Source organism: Homo sapiens, chromosome 1 (assembly GCF_000001405.40).
Source record: "Homo sapiens chromosome 1, GRCh38.p14 Primary Assembly".
NCBI lineage: Eukaryota > Metazoa > Chordata > Mammalia > Primates > Hominidae > Homo > Homo sapiens.
In genome coordinates, this window is record NC_000001.11 from 18,536,842 (window position 1) to 18,552,577 (window position 15,736).

At 51.5% G+C, this 15,736-nt stretch overlaps 1 annotated feature.

Annotated features, from left to right (window-relative positions):
* Positions 13,670-14,494: an enhancer, noted in NCBI's record as "H3K4me1 hESC enhancer chr1:18877005-18877829 (GRCh37/hg19 assembly coordinates)". NCBI's record gives its function as "activates a minimal SCP1, AML or CMV promoter by ChIP-STARR-seq in naive H9 embryonic stem cells {active_cell/tissue: H9 hESC(naive)}" and the evidence as "EXISTENCE:reporter gene assay evidence [ECO:0000049][PMID:30033119]".

Consider the following 15,736-nt stretch of genomic DNA (forward strand, 5'->3'; position numbering starts at 1 on the left):
TAAATACAGTACCTGGAACTTCCTGCCCTAAGAAACTATGGATCTAGAGGGGCCTTCACTCCCTCCCTCATTCATTCAGTCAGTCAGACAGGCAATAACTCATCAGACCTCAAGTGGGTCCTTTTGGTTCCAGGCCCTATGCTGGGCACTGGAGATGGTGCCACGAAGAAGATCCTGCAGAAGCACACAGTCTAAAGTGAAAACAGACTGCGGGACCGACAATTGGGATCTGGAGCGGTAGGGGTTGCAATTGGCGGCAGGAGGCAGGGTCTAGTGACACGGAATGAGAGGAGATGCACCGGCCAAGCCAGAGCCTTCAGCTCAAAAGCATCCTGGGAAGCCCCTCAGTCCCACGTAAACAGGGACAGCTGATCACCCTCTTTGGAGGGGGTGCTCCACACCTCCAAGCTTGTAATGGAGGAGATGATGGGGCAGAGGAGGACCCTTTGAGAGAGGGAAACTCACAAGGGGCGGTGGAGAGAAGGCAGATGGGGTCATTTCTTCCCTCCACCTCCTGGGCTCTGCCTCTAGGTGAGGTCTCCCTGTGCCCTGACCAGGTCTGTGAGCTCCACCTTCTGCATCTTGAGGGCAAGCAGAAGGCCCTATAGCGGGCAGCGAGTGATAGCAGAGTTTTCCAGCATCTTTCCCCATCCACTGAAAGCCCAGTGGGCACAGAGTGCGTGCTGGCTCCCCCATCCACCGCTGCCTTTCCTGGTATCAGTCCCCAGGGCCAGCCGTGGTCTCTGGACCCAGAACCCCACTGGTCACTGCCCAGGCTGGGAACAGCAGCCCTGGTGGGGGCTGCTCCTCACTGGTGCCAAGCCCTGCTTCACAACCCCAGATCCTTTGCCTTGGGGGAAAGCAGTCTACATTGGCCCCCACTCCAGCCGGGCTCCTGCTGCACTTTGATATATTGGCCTAATATTCCCGGAATTATTTTTTGCTCGGTGTTCTTTTTTTAAAACAGCCCCTGGGAGGCCCCATGACTTTGCTCTGAGCATGTGGTGCTACTGTCATCAAGTCACCCCTGAAGAATCCCGCACAGCCACGATGACACCCGAGCCAGGGCCCAGGAGGATGCAGAGACAGGCACCCAGCAGCTGAGAAGGTGCTGGGCTGGCGACCTTGGAAGTTTCACCCATCCAGGGAGCTGGGAGCGCATTAGCACGTTCATCTGCACCCTGTTCCCAGAGTGGCCACAGCTTTCACACCTGGCTCAGCTGAGGAGGCAGCGGGAGACCTCCCTGCTGAGGGGCCCAGCTGTACTCACCCTCCTCTTGACTTGATTTCCCTCTTCCTGTTTCCAGGGTCTCTGGTTTTTGAAATTCTCCGTATGTCCTTTTTACCCCTCTCCCTTCTCTGCTCCAGAGAGCTCAGGGAAGCACTGGACCCAGAATTAGTGGGAATGGGGTCCATACTCAGTGCCCTGCAGCTGTGAGCAGGTCCCCAGGCTTTCAGCATTTCACTTTGTTCTTCTTTAAAATGAGGTTGCAATTTTCTGCCTTGCTCATTTCTTAGGCATTAAATATTTAATGAGCAGCTACTATGTGCTAGGCACTGTGCCATGCTCCCTTGCCATAATGCTATTGTAAAACTTAAATAATAATAGCAGCAACAACAACAACCAACCTATGATGTGCCAGACCCCTTGCTAAACAAGCATTTCCCCTCCTTCTCTTTCTCCTTCACCTTCCTTGTCACCTTCCTCATCACCATTCTCATCACCAACCTAGCCCACATGTACCAGGTGTGTGCCATGTACACTGCTCTAAGTTAATTATGGATATTAACCCTTTTAATCCATGTAACAATGCTGTGAAGGATATACTGCCAGGATCCTTATATTGCCGATGAGAAAGCTCATTCTCAAAGAGGTAATATGAGCCACCCAAGGTCACACGGTTTCTTAGTAGCGAGGCAGGAATTTGAATCCAGGTCTGTCTGACTCCCAAATCCATGCTCTTAACCACTACATTCAACTGCTTCCAACATAAAATAATGTATGTGAAGGTGCATGGAGCATTATGCTAAGGTGAATGTCACAATTCCCAGTCAAGGCAGCAGCAATGCCAGGAGACTGGGACATGCATCTGCCTCCCTCACAGCACTCAGAGTGGTGTCTTGAGGTCATTCAGACCCAGATTCAACGCTGACTCTGCTGCTAATCTGCTGCATTGGCTGGGAAAGTTCCTTCACCTCCTGGAGCCTCAATTTTCCCACCTGAAAAATGGGGTTAATGATACCAACTTCTCCATGTTGCTGTAAAGGTGGCATGAAGTAGAAATCTGTTTATGAGCCTAGCACACTGGCTGGTGCACAGACTCTCGATGAGAGGGGCTCCTTTCCCATCCTTTTCACAATCCAGGTCCCTTTGCCTCAAGGTAGGACCACTGTGTGGTGTCATTTACACCCCAGCATTCCCTGTGGGATCAGGCTGAGGCTGGGTTTTACCTGAAACCACAAGCTTGCTGGCATCTTGCCCTGCCTGTGCTGCTTTCTTTGCTCCCTTACGGTAAGAGCCCTCCTTCAGTAAGTCACGTGCCCCAAAGCCCTGTATCCAGAACCCTGACCTAAGACAAGCTGCACAGGAAGAAGGCATTTCAGGCCGCAGCAGGAAGGGGAAAGATGCAGGGGGTGAGCAAAAGAGCTTGGCAGCATCTTGGCCTGGCCTCCACTGAAAAGTCTTGAGGAGGCTGGGCGCAGTGGCTCATGCCTGCAATCCCAGCACTTTCAGAGGCCAAGGCAGGCAGATCAGCTGAGGTGAGGAGTTCGAGACCAGCCTGGCCAACATGGCAAAACCTCGTTTCTACTAAAAATACAAAAATTAGCTGGGCGTAGTGGCACATGTCTGTAATCTCAGCTACTTGGGAGGCTGAGGCAGGAGAATCGCTTGAACCCAGGAGGCAGAGATTGCAGTGAGCTGAGATCACACCACTGCATACCAGCCTGGGTGACAAGATTGAAACTCAAAAGAAGGAAGGAAGGAAGGAAGGAAGGAAAGAAAGAAAGAAAGAAAGAAAGAAAGAAAGAAAGAAAGAAAGAAAGAAAGAAAGAAAGAAAGAAAGAAGGAAGGAAGGAAGGAAGGAAGGAAGGAAGGAAGGAAGGAAGGAAGGAAGGGGAAGGGAAGGGAAGGGAGGAAGGAAGGAAGGGAGGAAGGAAGGGGAAGGAAGGAAGGAAGAAGGGAGGAAGGGAGGGAGGGAGGGAAGGAAGGAAGGAAGGAAGGAAGGAAGGAAGGAAGGAAGGAAGGAAGGAAAGGCTTGAGGAGCCCAGACCAGGACTCTGGGATGGGAGGCAGGAAAACTACAAGAGACTGTGGGTAGTCAGCCTGTCAGTTCCCCTGTGGGGCACCTGCCAATTCCCATCCCTGGGCTGCCAAGGGGTGGGCAGACATGCTGGCTCAGCTGACCCCACCCACTAGCGGAGAAAATGGTCACACTGTGGAGCATCCCTGCAGGAGATGCCTCGGCCCTGGGGGCCTGGCAGGAGGCCCCAAGCTGGTGAGAGAGGCCTCCTCCAAAAGAAAGGGTGGACAAGTAGTGAAGATGGCATCCCATGTGTGACAGCTGGGTTGAGGCCACCCAACACTTCCCTACCTGGTCACACTCCATGCTGCAATGTTGGTTAAGGTACCTGACCCTTCTCCACTCCCTGCCACAGAGCTTGGGGGAGCACTGGAACCAGAGCCAGTGGGAGTGGGGTCCACACCAGGCCCTGTATTCTGTGCCATGCAGAGGCACAGCCTTTCAACATCTGGAGTTGCTCCTCTTCCCTCTCTTTATTTGTTCATTGAACAATATTTTTCCAGCACCGACCATGTGCCAGGCTCTATACTAAGTCTTCACACCCAGATGCAGGAAGCAAGTAACAGTAATGACAGTGATGATGAGAGCCAGCCTCCTCCACATGACAGCATGAATGGTGGTCAAGATCCAGGCCTGCGTGTGAGTCCCCCTGCTACTTCCCCAACTGTGTGATCTTTGGCACATTGCTTCACCTCCCCGTGCCTCAATTTCCTCCTTGTAAAATGGAACAGATAGATTGTATCTGATGGAGAAGAAACGGGATCACCCAGCCCAGGCTTTCAGCACAGCGCCTGGTCCATGGGGGGCTCTCAGTACATGGAGGCCATTGCTCTTACAGTTCCACAAAGCAGGGTCTTCAGACAGAGCTCGAAGAAGGAAGAAGGGATCTGGAGTGACTCCCCCTCTTGCTCTTTTCCATCCTCCCTGTTGTGGCCCTAACTCAGGCCTCATCATCCCTTACAAGGAATGTCCCCCCAGCCTCCCTGCCTCTGGCCTCATCCCATCCAATTTGTCTGCAACACGGCCACCAGGTTGATCAACCCCAAATTGCAGGTTGCCTTGGGATCACATCACTCCCTGGGCCTCCTCCTACATGCATGATAAAGACCACACTGCTCAGTGGGACCTCAAGATCCTCAAGGGCTGAGGCCAGCATCAGTGCTACCTCCTGCTGCCTCTCACCTCCCACCAGCCTTTCCCACGCCTGCCACCTAAGGTCTACTTCATTGCCTAGGGCCTCTGGAAAGAAGACACCCAGTGGTTATCTGAGCGGGCTACAGGCCAGCTCACATGGGCATGGAGGCCCATTCCTTGGGTTTCTGAGACCTGGAGAAATTGGGGTTACAGCAGGATAAGGGGCTTCATATGGAAAGGGGCAGCTCTGGAGGCTCCAGGGGAGAATCCTTCCTGGCCTCTTCCAGCTTCTGGTGGTGGCCGGCAGCCTTGTCATTGCTTGGCTTGTAGCTGCATCACTCCAATCCCTACCTCTGTCGTCACCCAGCCTTCCCTGTGTCTCCGTGCCTGCGTCTTCAGTCGGCGTTCTCATAAAGACACCTGTCATTGGATTTATGACCCCCCCCCCAATCCAGCATGATTCAGTATTAACTTGATAACATCTGCAAAGACACTATTTCCAAATAAGGTCACATTTGAAGTTCCAGGTTCACAAGGATTTGGGGGAGACACTATTCAGCCACATACAATGGTGTTATTCCCCCATTTTCTAGAAGAGGAAACTGAGACACAGAAAATGACTTGCTCGAGATCATGTGGCTTCGTAAGTGGCAGGTCCAGGATCTGTGCTCCTGTCTGCCTGACATCAAGACCTGCCCGACCCACCCCACCACCCTAGAACTCCAAGGACCTCAGTCATCACTGTCACTTACTGATGTGCCATTTGACATCCATTCTTCCATTTAACCCTCAAAACAGTCTTCTGGGACTGGAGACATGATGCTTGTTTCATAGACAGCAGCTTAGAAAGGCTAAGTGGCTTGCCCAAGACCATACAGCAAATTAGGGAAAGAGCCAGGATTAGAACTGAAGTCAACCTGACTTCAGAATCAAGGGCTTACCCACTACGACCTTGAAACACTTCCATTTATCTCTTTGCTTTGTGACCATTTAAATCTGGAGGAATCACATATTGCCATCCCTGCAATTCAAAGGCTGTTTTCCAGAGTCAGAGATCCTCCCCACCTAATCCATGTTGAAGGGGCTCTCCCATCCCTAGGAGGGGGATGGGGAGCGGAGAAGCCACCTCCCCCATCCACATTTACACACACACTCACACATCCGCACTCACACACTCACACTCCTCTGCCAACCAGCCATCTCCCAGAGCCAATTAACAAGGCTGGGTGGTCTCAAGGGAGCCCCACGGGGTGATAGACTTATTGATCCGCTAGAGTTGTGGAGTGTCAGGCCGGAGAGAGGAGTCATTTAGGCAGTGTTCTCTCTTTCTGAGTGCAGCAGGGACTCCGGGGGTGGAGAGTAAGTTGTATTTACTGTGACGGTAATTGAAAGGCAGCAGCAGCCACCCCACATTGTCCCCGGCAATACCTAATTGGTGGACCAAAAACTGCAGGAGAGCTGAGGCTGGGGCTGGGGGTGGGGAGAGGGAGAAAGAAAGTTAACATAGCCCAGAATCAATAGCAAAAGCTTTCACAGTGTCAGGCACAATTGATGGAGCTGAACGACTGGAAGCTGCAGAAAATTAGCCTTGAGGCTGACTTGGTTTGAAAGTTAAAAGCTGGTAAATGCAGAGACAGACGGGAGTTCCCGGCCACCCCTTCTGTTGTCATTTTTCTGGTGGCAACTGGAGGCCTGGTGCCAGCTCAGGGTGCACAGGCCTGGGGGAGGATGCATCAGACGGACTCTAATTTGGCCACCTGGTAAAGGACGCAAGACATGGAAAGGCTGCGGTCACCCATGACCTTGGCCCAATCGTGTCAGCTCACAGAGCTTTAGTTTGCTCATCTGCAGAGTGTGCACCTAGTATGGGAGTGCAGTGTCGTATGGTGGAAAGAACATGAAAAGACCAGGGTTTGAACCCCAGGTGTGCCATGTCCTCATGGTGGGACACTGAATAGGTGACTTAACCCCACTAGAAAAGGAGAATTGTGATACCTGGCTGTGGTAGGCTGAGAATGGACCCCTAAAAGATATTCACGTCTCAATGCCTGGAACTTGTGAGTGCTACCTTATAGGGCAAAATAAAAATGATTCTTTGCAGATGTGACTCAGTTAAGGATATTGAGATGGGCAGATTATCCTGGAGCATCTGGGAGGACCTTAAATGCAATCACCACTGTCCCTTATAAGAGAGTGGCAGAGAGATATTTTACAAAGACACACAGAGGAGGAGGTGACATGAAGATGGAGCAGAGGGTGATCTGAAGATGCTGTCCTTGAAGACTGGAGTGATGCAGCCACAAGCCAAGGAATACTGGCAGCCTCCAACACTGGAAGAGATTCTCCCCTAGAGCCCCTGGAGGAAGAACAGCCCAGCTGACACCTTGCTTTCTGCCCAGTGATCCTGATTTTGAACTTCCGGCCTCGGTAACTGTGAGAGAATAAATGCCTATTGTTAAAGATGCCACTTTGTGGTCACTTGTTATAGCAGCCTCAGGAAACTAATGCACCAGCTTTGCAGAGCTGGGAAGATGAGAAACGTGTATTAAAACAGCTGGCACATGGCAAAATTCAAAGCCGAGACATCACAACTCTCAAGCAATCAGCAGCTGTCAAGCTAGAGCCCAGGGCCCCGTTTTAAGGCCAGGTCTTCAGTTTCTACATGAAGCATCTGAAATTTCTCCAACAAGATTAATTGAGAAAATTATTATAATCTTTTGAGACAATAATAATTGGTCTCACTCTGTCACCCAGAGCTCGCTGCAGCCTTGTCCTCATGGGCTAAAGTGACTCTCCCACATTAGCCTCACGAGTAGCTGGGACTACAGGTGCACACCACCACACTCAGCTAATTTTTTTATTTTTTTTTTGTTTTTGAAAACAAGGTCTCACTATGTTGCCCAGGCTGGTCTCGAACTCCTGGCTTCAAGCGATCCTCTCACCTTGGCTTCCCAAAGTGTTGGGATCACAGGTGTGAGTCACTGCATCTGACTGAGAAAATTACATATTGTCTGTTTTCTTTTGCTAGAATGCAAGCCCCAAGAGGACACGTTTCTTTATTTTGTTCACCCATATACTCAAATGCCTAGGACAGTGCCTGGCACTTAGCAAATGTTCAATAAACACTTGCTGAATGATAATAATAGAACAGCAACCAGAAAAATACTCACCTAATACAAACAGATGTTCACAGGATGGCAGCTGTAGTGATATTAACAAAAGGCTTTGTCTTTCCTCTCTGGGCCTCAGTTTCCTGATTTGGGGAATGATGTTGCTTAGAATAGCATAGCTCTGGAGGATTGGCCATGTGGGGAACACTCAGTGAGGGAAAGAAGAGTGCTTTGAAAATTATAAAATTCTGTCCAGAGTCCTTACTCAGCCTTCCTGCCCTCTCATGAGACTCCAAGCACTTACAGCCCACTAAACCCCCTGAGACCCTGACAGTGTCCTTTGATTGCCTTTGGGAGTCAAGAATTCCCTATAATTATGTACAAAATTTTCTGTAAATATACACTCCTACACTTCCCTTGTTAAATGTTCAATTTTTAGATTCTCAAAGAGGGCCTGTGACCTTTAAAAAATCTGTAACCCCTGGAACAATCTATCTCCTCCATCTCCAGCTATGGGGAGCCCCAGAGGCCAGCTAGGAGAGCAGCCTCCAGATTCACATTATCACTGGCTGTGCCCCAAGGCAAGACCCTCTGGGGGACGTGGCAGAAATATCTTGCCTCTGTGAGCAGAGGGCGAGAGGCCAAGAAAACGAAGCAGTGAGGCTTGGGGAAGCAGTGAGGAATGAGGGGCACCAGAGGTCAAGGGAGAAGCCTCAGGCATGCTGCAGATGACCTACACCTCCTCCCAAATGAGCGCTGACGATGTACATCTCACCTCAATTCTGCAGTAGCTTGAAGGTAGCCATAGTGGGAATATTTACACCACGGAAATTGGCAAATGCTACAAATCAGTTTACCTTCTTTATTTTTCCTGGAAAACTGGCTGTTAAACATTTTACCATCACATCACTGGAAAAACACCCCTTGGAGACAAGCTACCGATTCCAGAGCTTTGTAAGGAACTTCCCCACCACACCAGCATCCCCATGCAGGAAGCCTTTGTCCAACATGCATTCATGAATGTTTATTTACCAGAACTCAGCTGAGACAGCTCCAACACCTGCTGGACCTAGAACAGGGAGGATGGCCCATCTCATCCCATCTCATCTTTCCTGAGGGGCCTCAGTCCCAGCCCCACTGGCAGCAAAGGATTAGTGGGGCCATTTGGGCACCAGGGAACTCAGCTGGGACTGATCTATCCAGCATGCGGAGACGGCTCCACCACAGACAGGCCAGCCTTGGGGTCCAGCCTCTCTCCATCCCTCTCCTGAGCCAGCACTCACTTTGCTTGGCTACCTCAAGAAAGAATCCTAAGCTGGCAAGTCAGGCAGCCTGGGGCCAGGAGGTCTTGCACTGTCCAGGTGGCGGGATCACACTTTCCATCCCCCAGCCTCCCTCTCCTCCTCTGTACCCTGGCAATGAAGGGCAAGGACTGTGATAATTAAACATGACAAAATCAGAGAAAGCCCCAAGCCAAAACTCCCATTCGAGGTGCATCTCCCACACACCAGGAACTTGACAGATGGCATCAAAATTCACCCTCCTGAAAATACCTCTGTTGTCCCTCCTTTCCAGTTGAGGGAACTGAGGCTCATAACGAGTAAATTCCATGCTCAAACCACACTAGGAGCCTGAGGTGACTTGGAAATTAGACCGGTTCCAAGGTCTTTGCCTTCACTGGCTCCCAGCAGTGCACATGGCACATCACCGTGAGATTCCAGCATCGCACCCTCCTCCCACTTGCCATAGAGACCACACACCTGTCCCCCCAGTTCAGCAGCTCCAGCTGTGTCCTTCCTTCTCCAGCAAACGCCACAGGTCCCGGGTTAATTGCTGGCTTGAGAGCAGGGGAGGGAGGCCAAAGTGCGCAGCAGTGCAGACGGTCCAGGCAGGAGCAGTAAACTCTGCAGGTGCATTGCTGCAAGCTCCACGTCTGCCCTCTGCCTCACTAATTGGCACTTCCTTGTTAGAGCCATTTCATTGAGATGGAAAAATACATACATGTGTGGATGTGGTGGGAATCTGCTAGGAAGGCAGAAATATCAAAGTAAGGTGGCCAACTCCTTTGGAGAGCTGCAAAAATGGGAGACTGGGACAGACAGGGCAGGGGTGAGAAGGGATGCAGCCAGAGAATTTGGTGTGGTTCAGTACTTCCCCTCCAGTGGCAGACAGATCTGAATGAGAAACTCTCCAGGAATTCACGGGAATCGCTTGAAGCCGGGAGGTGGAGGTTGCAAATGAGCTGAGATCGCACTACTGTACTCCAGCCTGGGCAACAGAGTGAGACCTTGTCTCAAAAAAAAAAAAAAAAAAAAAAAAGGAGATATTTGTTATGAAGCAGGAGCCTGCAGCATCCACAGGTCCTCAGCTGGAGGAGATGCAAGCCAGCCATACAAAAAATGTGTCTTTCTCACATCCTCTCTCATGCCCCACACACAGTGTCCTTCAGGGGCTTCTAGGGGCCAGCATCGGCCCCTGACTGCTCCTGACCATAAACACCCAGTGGCAGGTTCTGTCTGTCATCTTGGAGAGCAGAAACAATTTGGCTCTGGTCACCAAAGCAACTCAGCATCCAGACCCCAAGAGGGAGAAGAAGAGGGAGTGGGCATCTCCCATTCATCCACTCACCCACCCACCCACCCATCCAACTCAATAAGCACTGAGCGATTCTCTCCTTGGGCTTTTGCACATGCTGTTCCCACTTGCTAGAATGCTTTTCTCTTTGGGTGCCCAAATGGAAGATTCTTCTTATCATTCAGGTCCTAGCTCAAATGCTACCTCTTCAAAGAGACCTTTCCTGACCATCTATTTAGAGCACTTTTTCTCCAGCCCTGGGTTTAACAGCTTTCTTGGCACTTGCTTCTCTCAAAATGATCTTGTGCCTTCATTTTAGTCCTTGATTACTGCTGAATCCTCCCTCTCCCAATAGAAAGCAAGCATCACCCTTACTGCTGCGTTCCCAGTGCCTAGGGTGCTGCGGGGCACAGGCATGGGTGAGTGAGTGGGTGGACCAGTGATTGTCACTTGCTGTGCACCTGCCATCTGCTGGGCCCTGTGCTAGGGACCCCCAGAGGAATAAGAGTGGTTCAGTCCCTGTCCGCCACCTCCCCAGCAGCTCACAGGCCTGCTGCCACAGGGCAGGTGGCCTCCTTGTTTTAAGTGTGGTCACAAAGGCACCAGGAAAGCCTGTGATTTCAGAGAAGGCTTTCCATAGCCAGAGGCATTTAAGCTGAGCATTGAAGGAAGAATAAGAATTCCTCAGGCAGCCATGGGTCAAAGGGGATTCCAGGAAGAGGAATTTGCATGGCCCAGGCCCTGATGGAGAATGGGGAAACTACAAGTTGCTTGGTGGATCTTGAACTCAGGAGAGAGTGACGCATCCAGGTTGTCTGTTAAGATCTCTCGGGCAGCAGTGGTGTAAATGGATGGGAAGGAGGGATTCGGTGTGACACAAGGTGAGAGGAGAAAGAGGACGCTGTTGCAGGAGGCAGATGGAAACAGGAAAGGAGGAGAGGACAGATATGGGAGATATCAGAGTGTGGAAAGGAAAGGATTTGGGTGGGGTAAATGGAGAAGCACAGGATGGCATCCAGGGTTCTCTGCTGGGCCACGGGAAGGATTCCTGGGGTCCCCACTGAGCGAGGAAGCCAGAAGCAGGAGCCAGCGGGAGGAGGAATTCTGTTCTGGGTCTACTGAATTTGAAACGCCAGAGGGACCTCCTCCTCTCTCCAGCCCACCCTGTCCTTCCAGTACAGCCCACCTACAGCAACAACAGAATCTGCTGGCTTACGGGGAGTATGGCAGGGTTGAGGCAGGGGTGAGGCAGGGGCGAGGCAGGGGGCAAGGCAGGGGCAAAGCAGGGGCAAGGTAGGGGTGTGGCAGGGGTGAGGCAGGGGCTCCTGTGTGGGTGTGGACAGCAGCCCCTTGATTTCCTCCCCTGGAGGTTGAAATGGAGGGAACCCAGAGACAACCTGGCCATTGGTCCAGCCTCTCATCTTCCAGGTTAGGAAACAGGTCTAGAGAGAGGAAGTAATTTTCTCACCAGTCGGGAAAAGCTATGTTTGCTGCCCTCACAAACAGTCCCAAATTATCAGCAAATGGATTCAAGCCACAGTACTTACTTCTCATTTATTTAACAAGACCAGGATAGATCCTCTGGGGTCTGTTCTGTGTCCTCCTCCAGGACCCATACTGCCCCAGTCATTGGGGCAAAGGGGAACAAAGCCCCTGGAGAGTCTCCCACAGGCAAGCATGATGCCCGGGTCACTTCCCAACTCATCGGCTGGAAGCAGTCCGTGGCTCCACTCGACCCCAAGGCAGCCAGAGAAGCTGTCTTCCATATACCCAGAAGGAGGGGGACTGGGAATGTTTGGGGACTGCACTGACGAGCCTGCAGCCCAGGTCACTAACAGAGCTGACTCAGTGCTGGGCAGCGTGCTGTGTTTCACAGACACCATCCATGTGATCCTCACCACAACCCTGCAGACACAGCACCATGACTGCCCCCATCTGCCAGTCCAGGGCCTCATGGCTCACAGCAGGGATGTCTTGGCCAAGATCAAGAGGTGGAGCTGGGGTTCAAACCCAGGGCTTCCACTTTTGGAGGACCAGAAAGAGAGTCTGGATGACCCAGAGGAGGAATCCAAGACTCAGCCTTACTCCACAACCCTAACATGCTGCCAGTCTCCTCTGAGATCCGCTGTATTTTTCCTGAACACTGCAGCCAGCTCCACCCTCAAATCTCCAGGGAGTGATGGTGAGAGTGAATTTGATCTTAAAATCTGTCAAGTCGCGCGTGTAGTGAGGAGAAAAGTCCCGTACACTTTCCAGGTGTTTTTATGGGAAAAGAACCATGCAAAGTCCAAAGTCAAGCTGCCTTCATAAGTGGGACGAGGCCAGTTGGCTGGAAAAATGACAGCTCCACACCAGCCCTCCGTGTTAATTGCATCACAGCCACTACCCCCAGCTGGAGAAACACAGATGCAATTAGCATGCAGCGCACGACTCTCTGGGGCCTATTCCATCAACACATTTGTCCGATGGCATTAACACCACCTAGCTGCCATCATTCTCACACAGCTGGGCCCTCATGCTCTTAAAAAGAAAAACTCGGGATACTTTCTGTGCATAACCCTGGTTACCTGCCCAGATGTCTGCACTTCTCTTTTGCTCACCTTGTATCCCCAGCAGCATGCCAGGCATGTAGTAAATGCTCAATTAATATCTGCAGATGAATGAATGATGTTCCAAGTCTTCTAGTTTTATGATTCACCTGCTCTTTAATATTCAAATGAAGTGGCTCCAGGCACCGGCAGATGACTACTTTTGCTCTGGCCCCTCATCTGGGAAAGGCTCAGTTTCATCCACCTCCTCTCACATGGACTTTCTCTCCTCCCTTCCTCTGTTATCCCAAATGTGGGACATAGTGGCCCCCTTGCCTTGGTTCCTCCCAGCTTCCACCAGGACAAGGCACATGTGTGTGTCCAAAATTTGCTGAAGGTTTGGGTAGTGCTAATGAAGAAAAATAACATTGCCTGGAAATGGAAAAGCAGACATCTCTGCTATGAAATTCCTTCTTCCAAGTCCCATGGATGGAAGGAACCTTGTCCTTATGAGCTCCCCAACCCCAGCCCTCTAGCCTCCCACCAGCTCCTCAGCCTCCCCCTCCTCCCCTCTCTTGCTCCTGGCCTCCAACCCCCAGCAGCCATCTGCTCCTGTTTCTCACAAAGGCAGCTGGCTTTCACTCCCCTCCCAGAGCTCCGCCAGGCCTGCTGTGACACCCCAAACCTCACACAGGCTCTGCCAAACAATCCGGTCTTCACCCTTACCAACCCAGAGCCCTGGGAGAAGCTCGGAAATTGCCTGGACAGGGAATTCCTGGGCTTGGCTCTTGGCCTATATGCGGGCTCTGTAGGTGGAGGCCTCAGTGCAAAGATGTATTCTCCCCTAGACACCAGTTGTGCCACCTCTGCCTCCTTGGGAAGCAGAAGTGGCTATGGTCTGGTTCGGGGAGTGTAAATGGCAATGCATTTAATCCTCACAATCACCATTTGAGGTGATGTCATGATTCTTGCCATTTTCCAGATGAGGAGTCTGAGGCCCAGAGAAGCAGGTGACTTCTCCAAGATCATCAAGTTAGCAGGTGGCGGCACTGGGATTCAAAGGCAGCTCTGTGTGAGTCTGAGGTCCATGTGGCGCCTGCCCATCACACGGCCCACACCGTGCCATGTCATCCCATCCAAAATCCACATCCACTTAATAACAAGGAACACGCAGAGGGCAGAGAGGTCTTCTCACCCAGGACTGAAGAGGCAGGGAGGCCTTTGGGCTCTGAATGGGAGAGAGGGGCAAAGCCAGAGGAAGGACCACCTTTGTGGGACACCTGCGGTGTGCCAGGCACCAGCTGGGCACGCTGCGCACAGTGTCCCATTCATCCTTGTGACGACCTTTTACTACCATGTTACAGATGGGGAACTGAGGTCCACAGAAGGTCATGCAGCTTGTAAATGGCCAAGCTGGGACTGAAACAAAAGTCTGTCGGCCTCCAAGGCCCACACTGCACCCCTCCATCTCAGCATGGTCTTCCAGGGCAACCGTCTCAAGGTCAGGCTGGGTGGGGAGGGGAGTCCACTCCCTGTTGTGGCAAATTCAGCTGGTGGACTCTCATCACAGCCCTGTTCTCACACAGTGCTCTGTGCAGACAGGTGGGGCCCAGACACTGCCAAGCAACTGGTCCACCCCACCTGCGTTCACTGCTTCCTGCAGCCAACAATGTGGAATTATTGCCCACCTGGCAAATCCACCCTTTAGGCCATTTCCAATCCCTCTGTCCCAAGACAAAGCCCCAGCATCCAGCTCCATGGGCTGCCACATCTGGTTGAGAAGTAAAATGCTTTGTTTCATCTACATGGCATAGGCTTTGCAGTCAGACCAAGGTCAAGTCCTAATTCCACAATAACAACCCAAGATAGCTGATGAGTGACTGCTAAATAGAGAACCAAGAGGCAAGGTTATGGATGCTAATGAAATCATAGAAATAGCTGGGCACAGTGGCTCACGTCTGTAATCCCAGCACTTTGGGAGGCTGAGCAGGTGGATCACTGAGGTCAGGAGTTTGAGACCAGCCTGGTTAACATGTCGAAACTCTGTCTCTACTAAAAATACAAATATTAGCTAGGCGCATTGGTGTGTACCTGTAATCCCAGCTACTTGGGAGACTGAGGCAGGAGAATCGCTTGAACCCAGGAGGCAGAGGTTGCAGTGAGTCAAAATTGTGCCACTGCACTCCAGCCTGGGTGACAGAGTGAGGTTCTGAAAAAAAAAGAAAAAGAAAAGAAAAGAAGAGAAAAAAAGAAAGAAGGAAAGAAAGAAAGGAAAGGAAAGGAAGAAAGGAAGAAAAGAAGTTGGGGAGTATGTACACACAGACACACACAACGAGAGAGAGAAAGAGAGAGAGAAATGCCCTGGTGCAGGCTTCTCTCTCCGCTCTGGTAATATCCCCATTTTACAGACAAGGCAACCGAGGCACAGAGCTTTGCCTAACACATGGCAAAGAGGGGGCTAGAACTTGGCTCCTCCATCAGTGGAATTCACACTGGGTCCCAGGGAGCCTCAGACTTCACAGAGATGCCACAGGGAGGGGAGGCGAAGCCAGTCGGGCAGAGGCTTCATCGCCAGAACAGCTTTGCTTTGGTCTGCACCTGTTGGGGCTCCGTGTCAAGTTTTATTTGAAGAAATGGTTTGCTGCTTAAGGAAAAATCTGAAAGCCAAGGCACCGCTGCTCCAGGGAGAGGCCGCGGTGGCCTTTGAGGAATGAGAAGGTCAGGATGACAGTGGTTAAGCCTCAGGAAATCAACTACCCAAAAAGCGTGCACCTTATTTCATCTACAGAGTGCCCTCGCCTCCCCAAGGACCTTGTGCCTATTTTCTCTCCTCTGTCTTCTACGCAACCCTCCCTCACCGCCGGCTCTCTGCTGCAGGCCTTACCCCTTAAGACTTAGAGAATAGAGAAGCCATCAGATGCAAACCCACCATCATGTCTTCCTCCTGCCCCACTGCAGTTGCCCCCTCCTCTTATAGGGAGAAAGTCCCCCCCAACTCACTGAAAGCCAGTCTCTCCACCTGGACCCTGGGTCCCACTAGGAACCCCCTCCATGCCATATTTCACTTACCTCCCACGTCTTCAGTCTG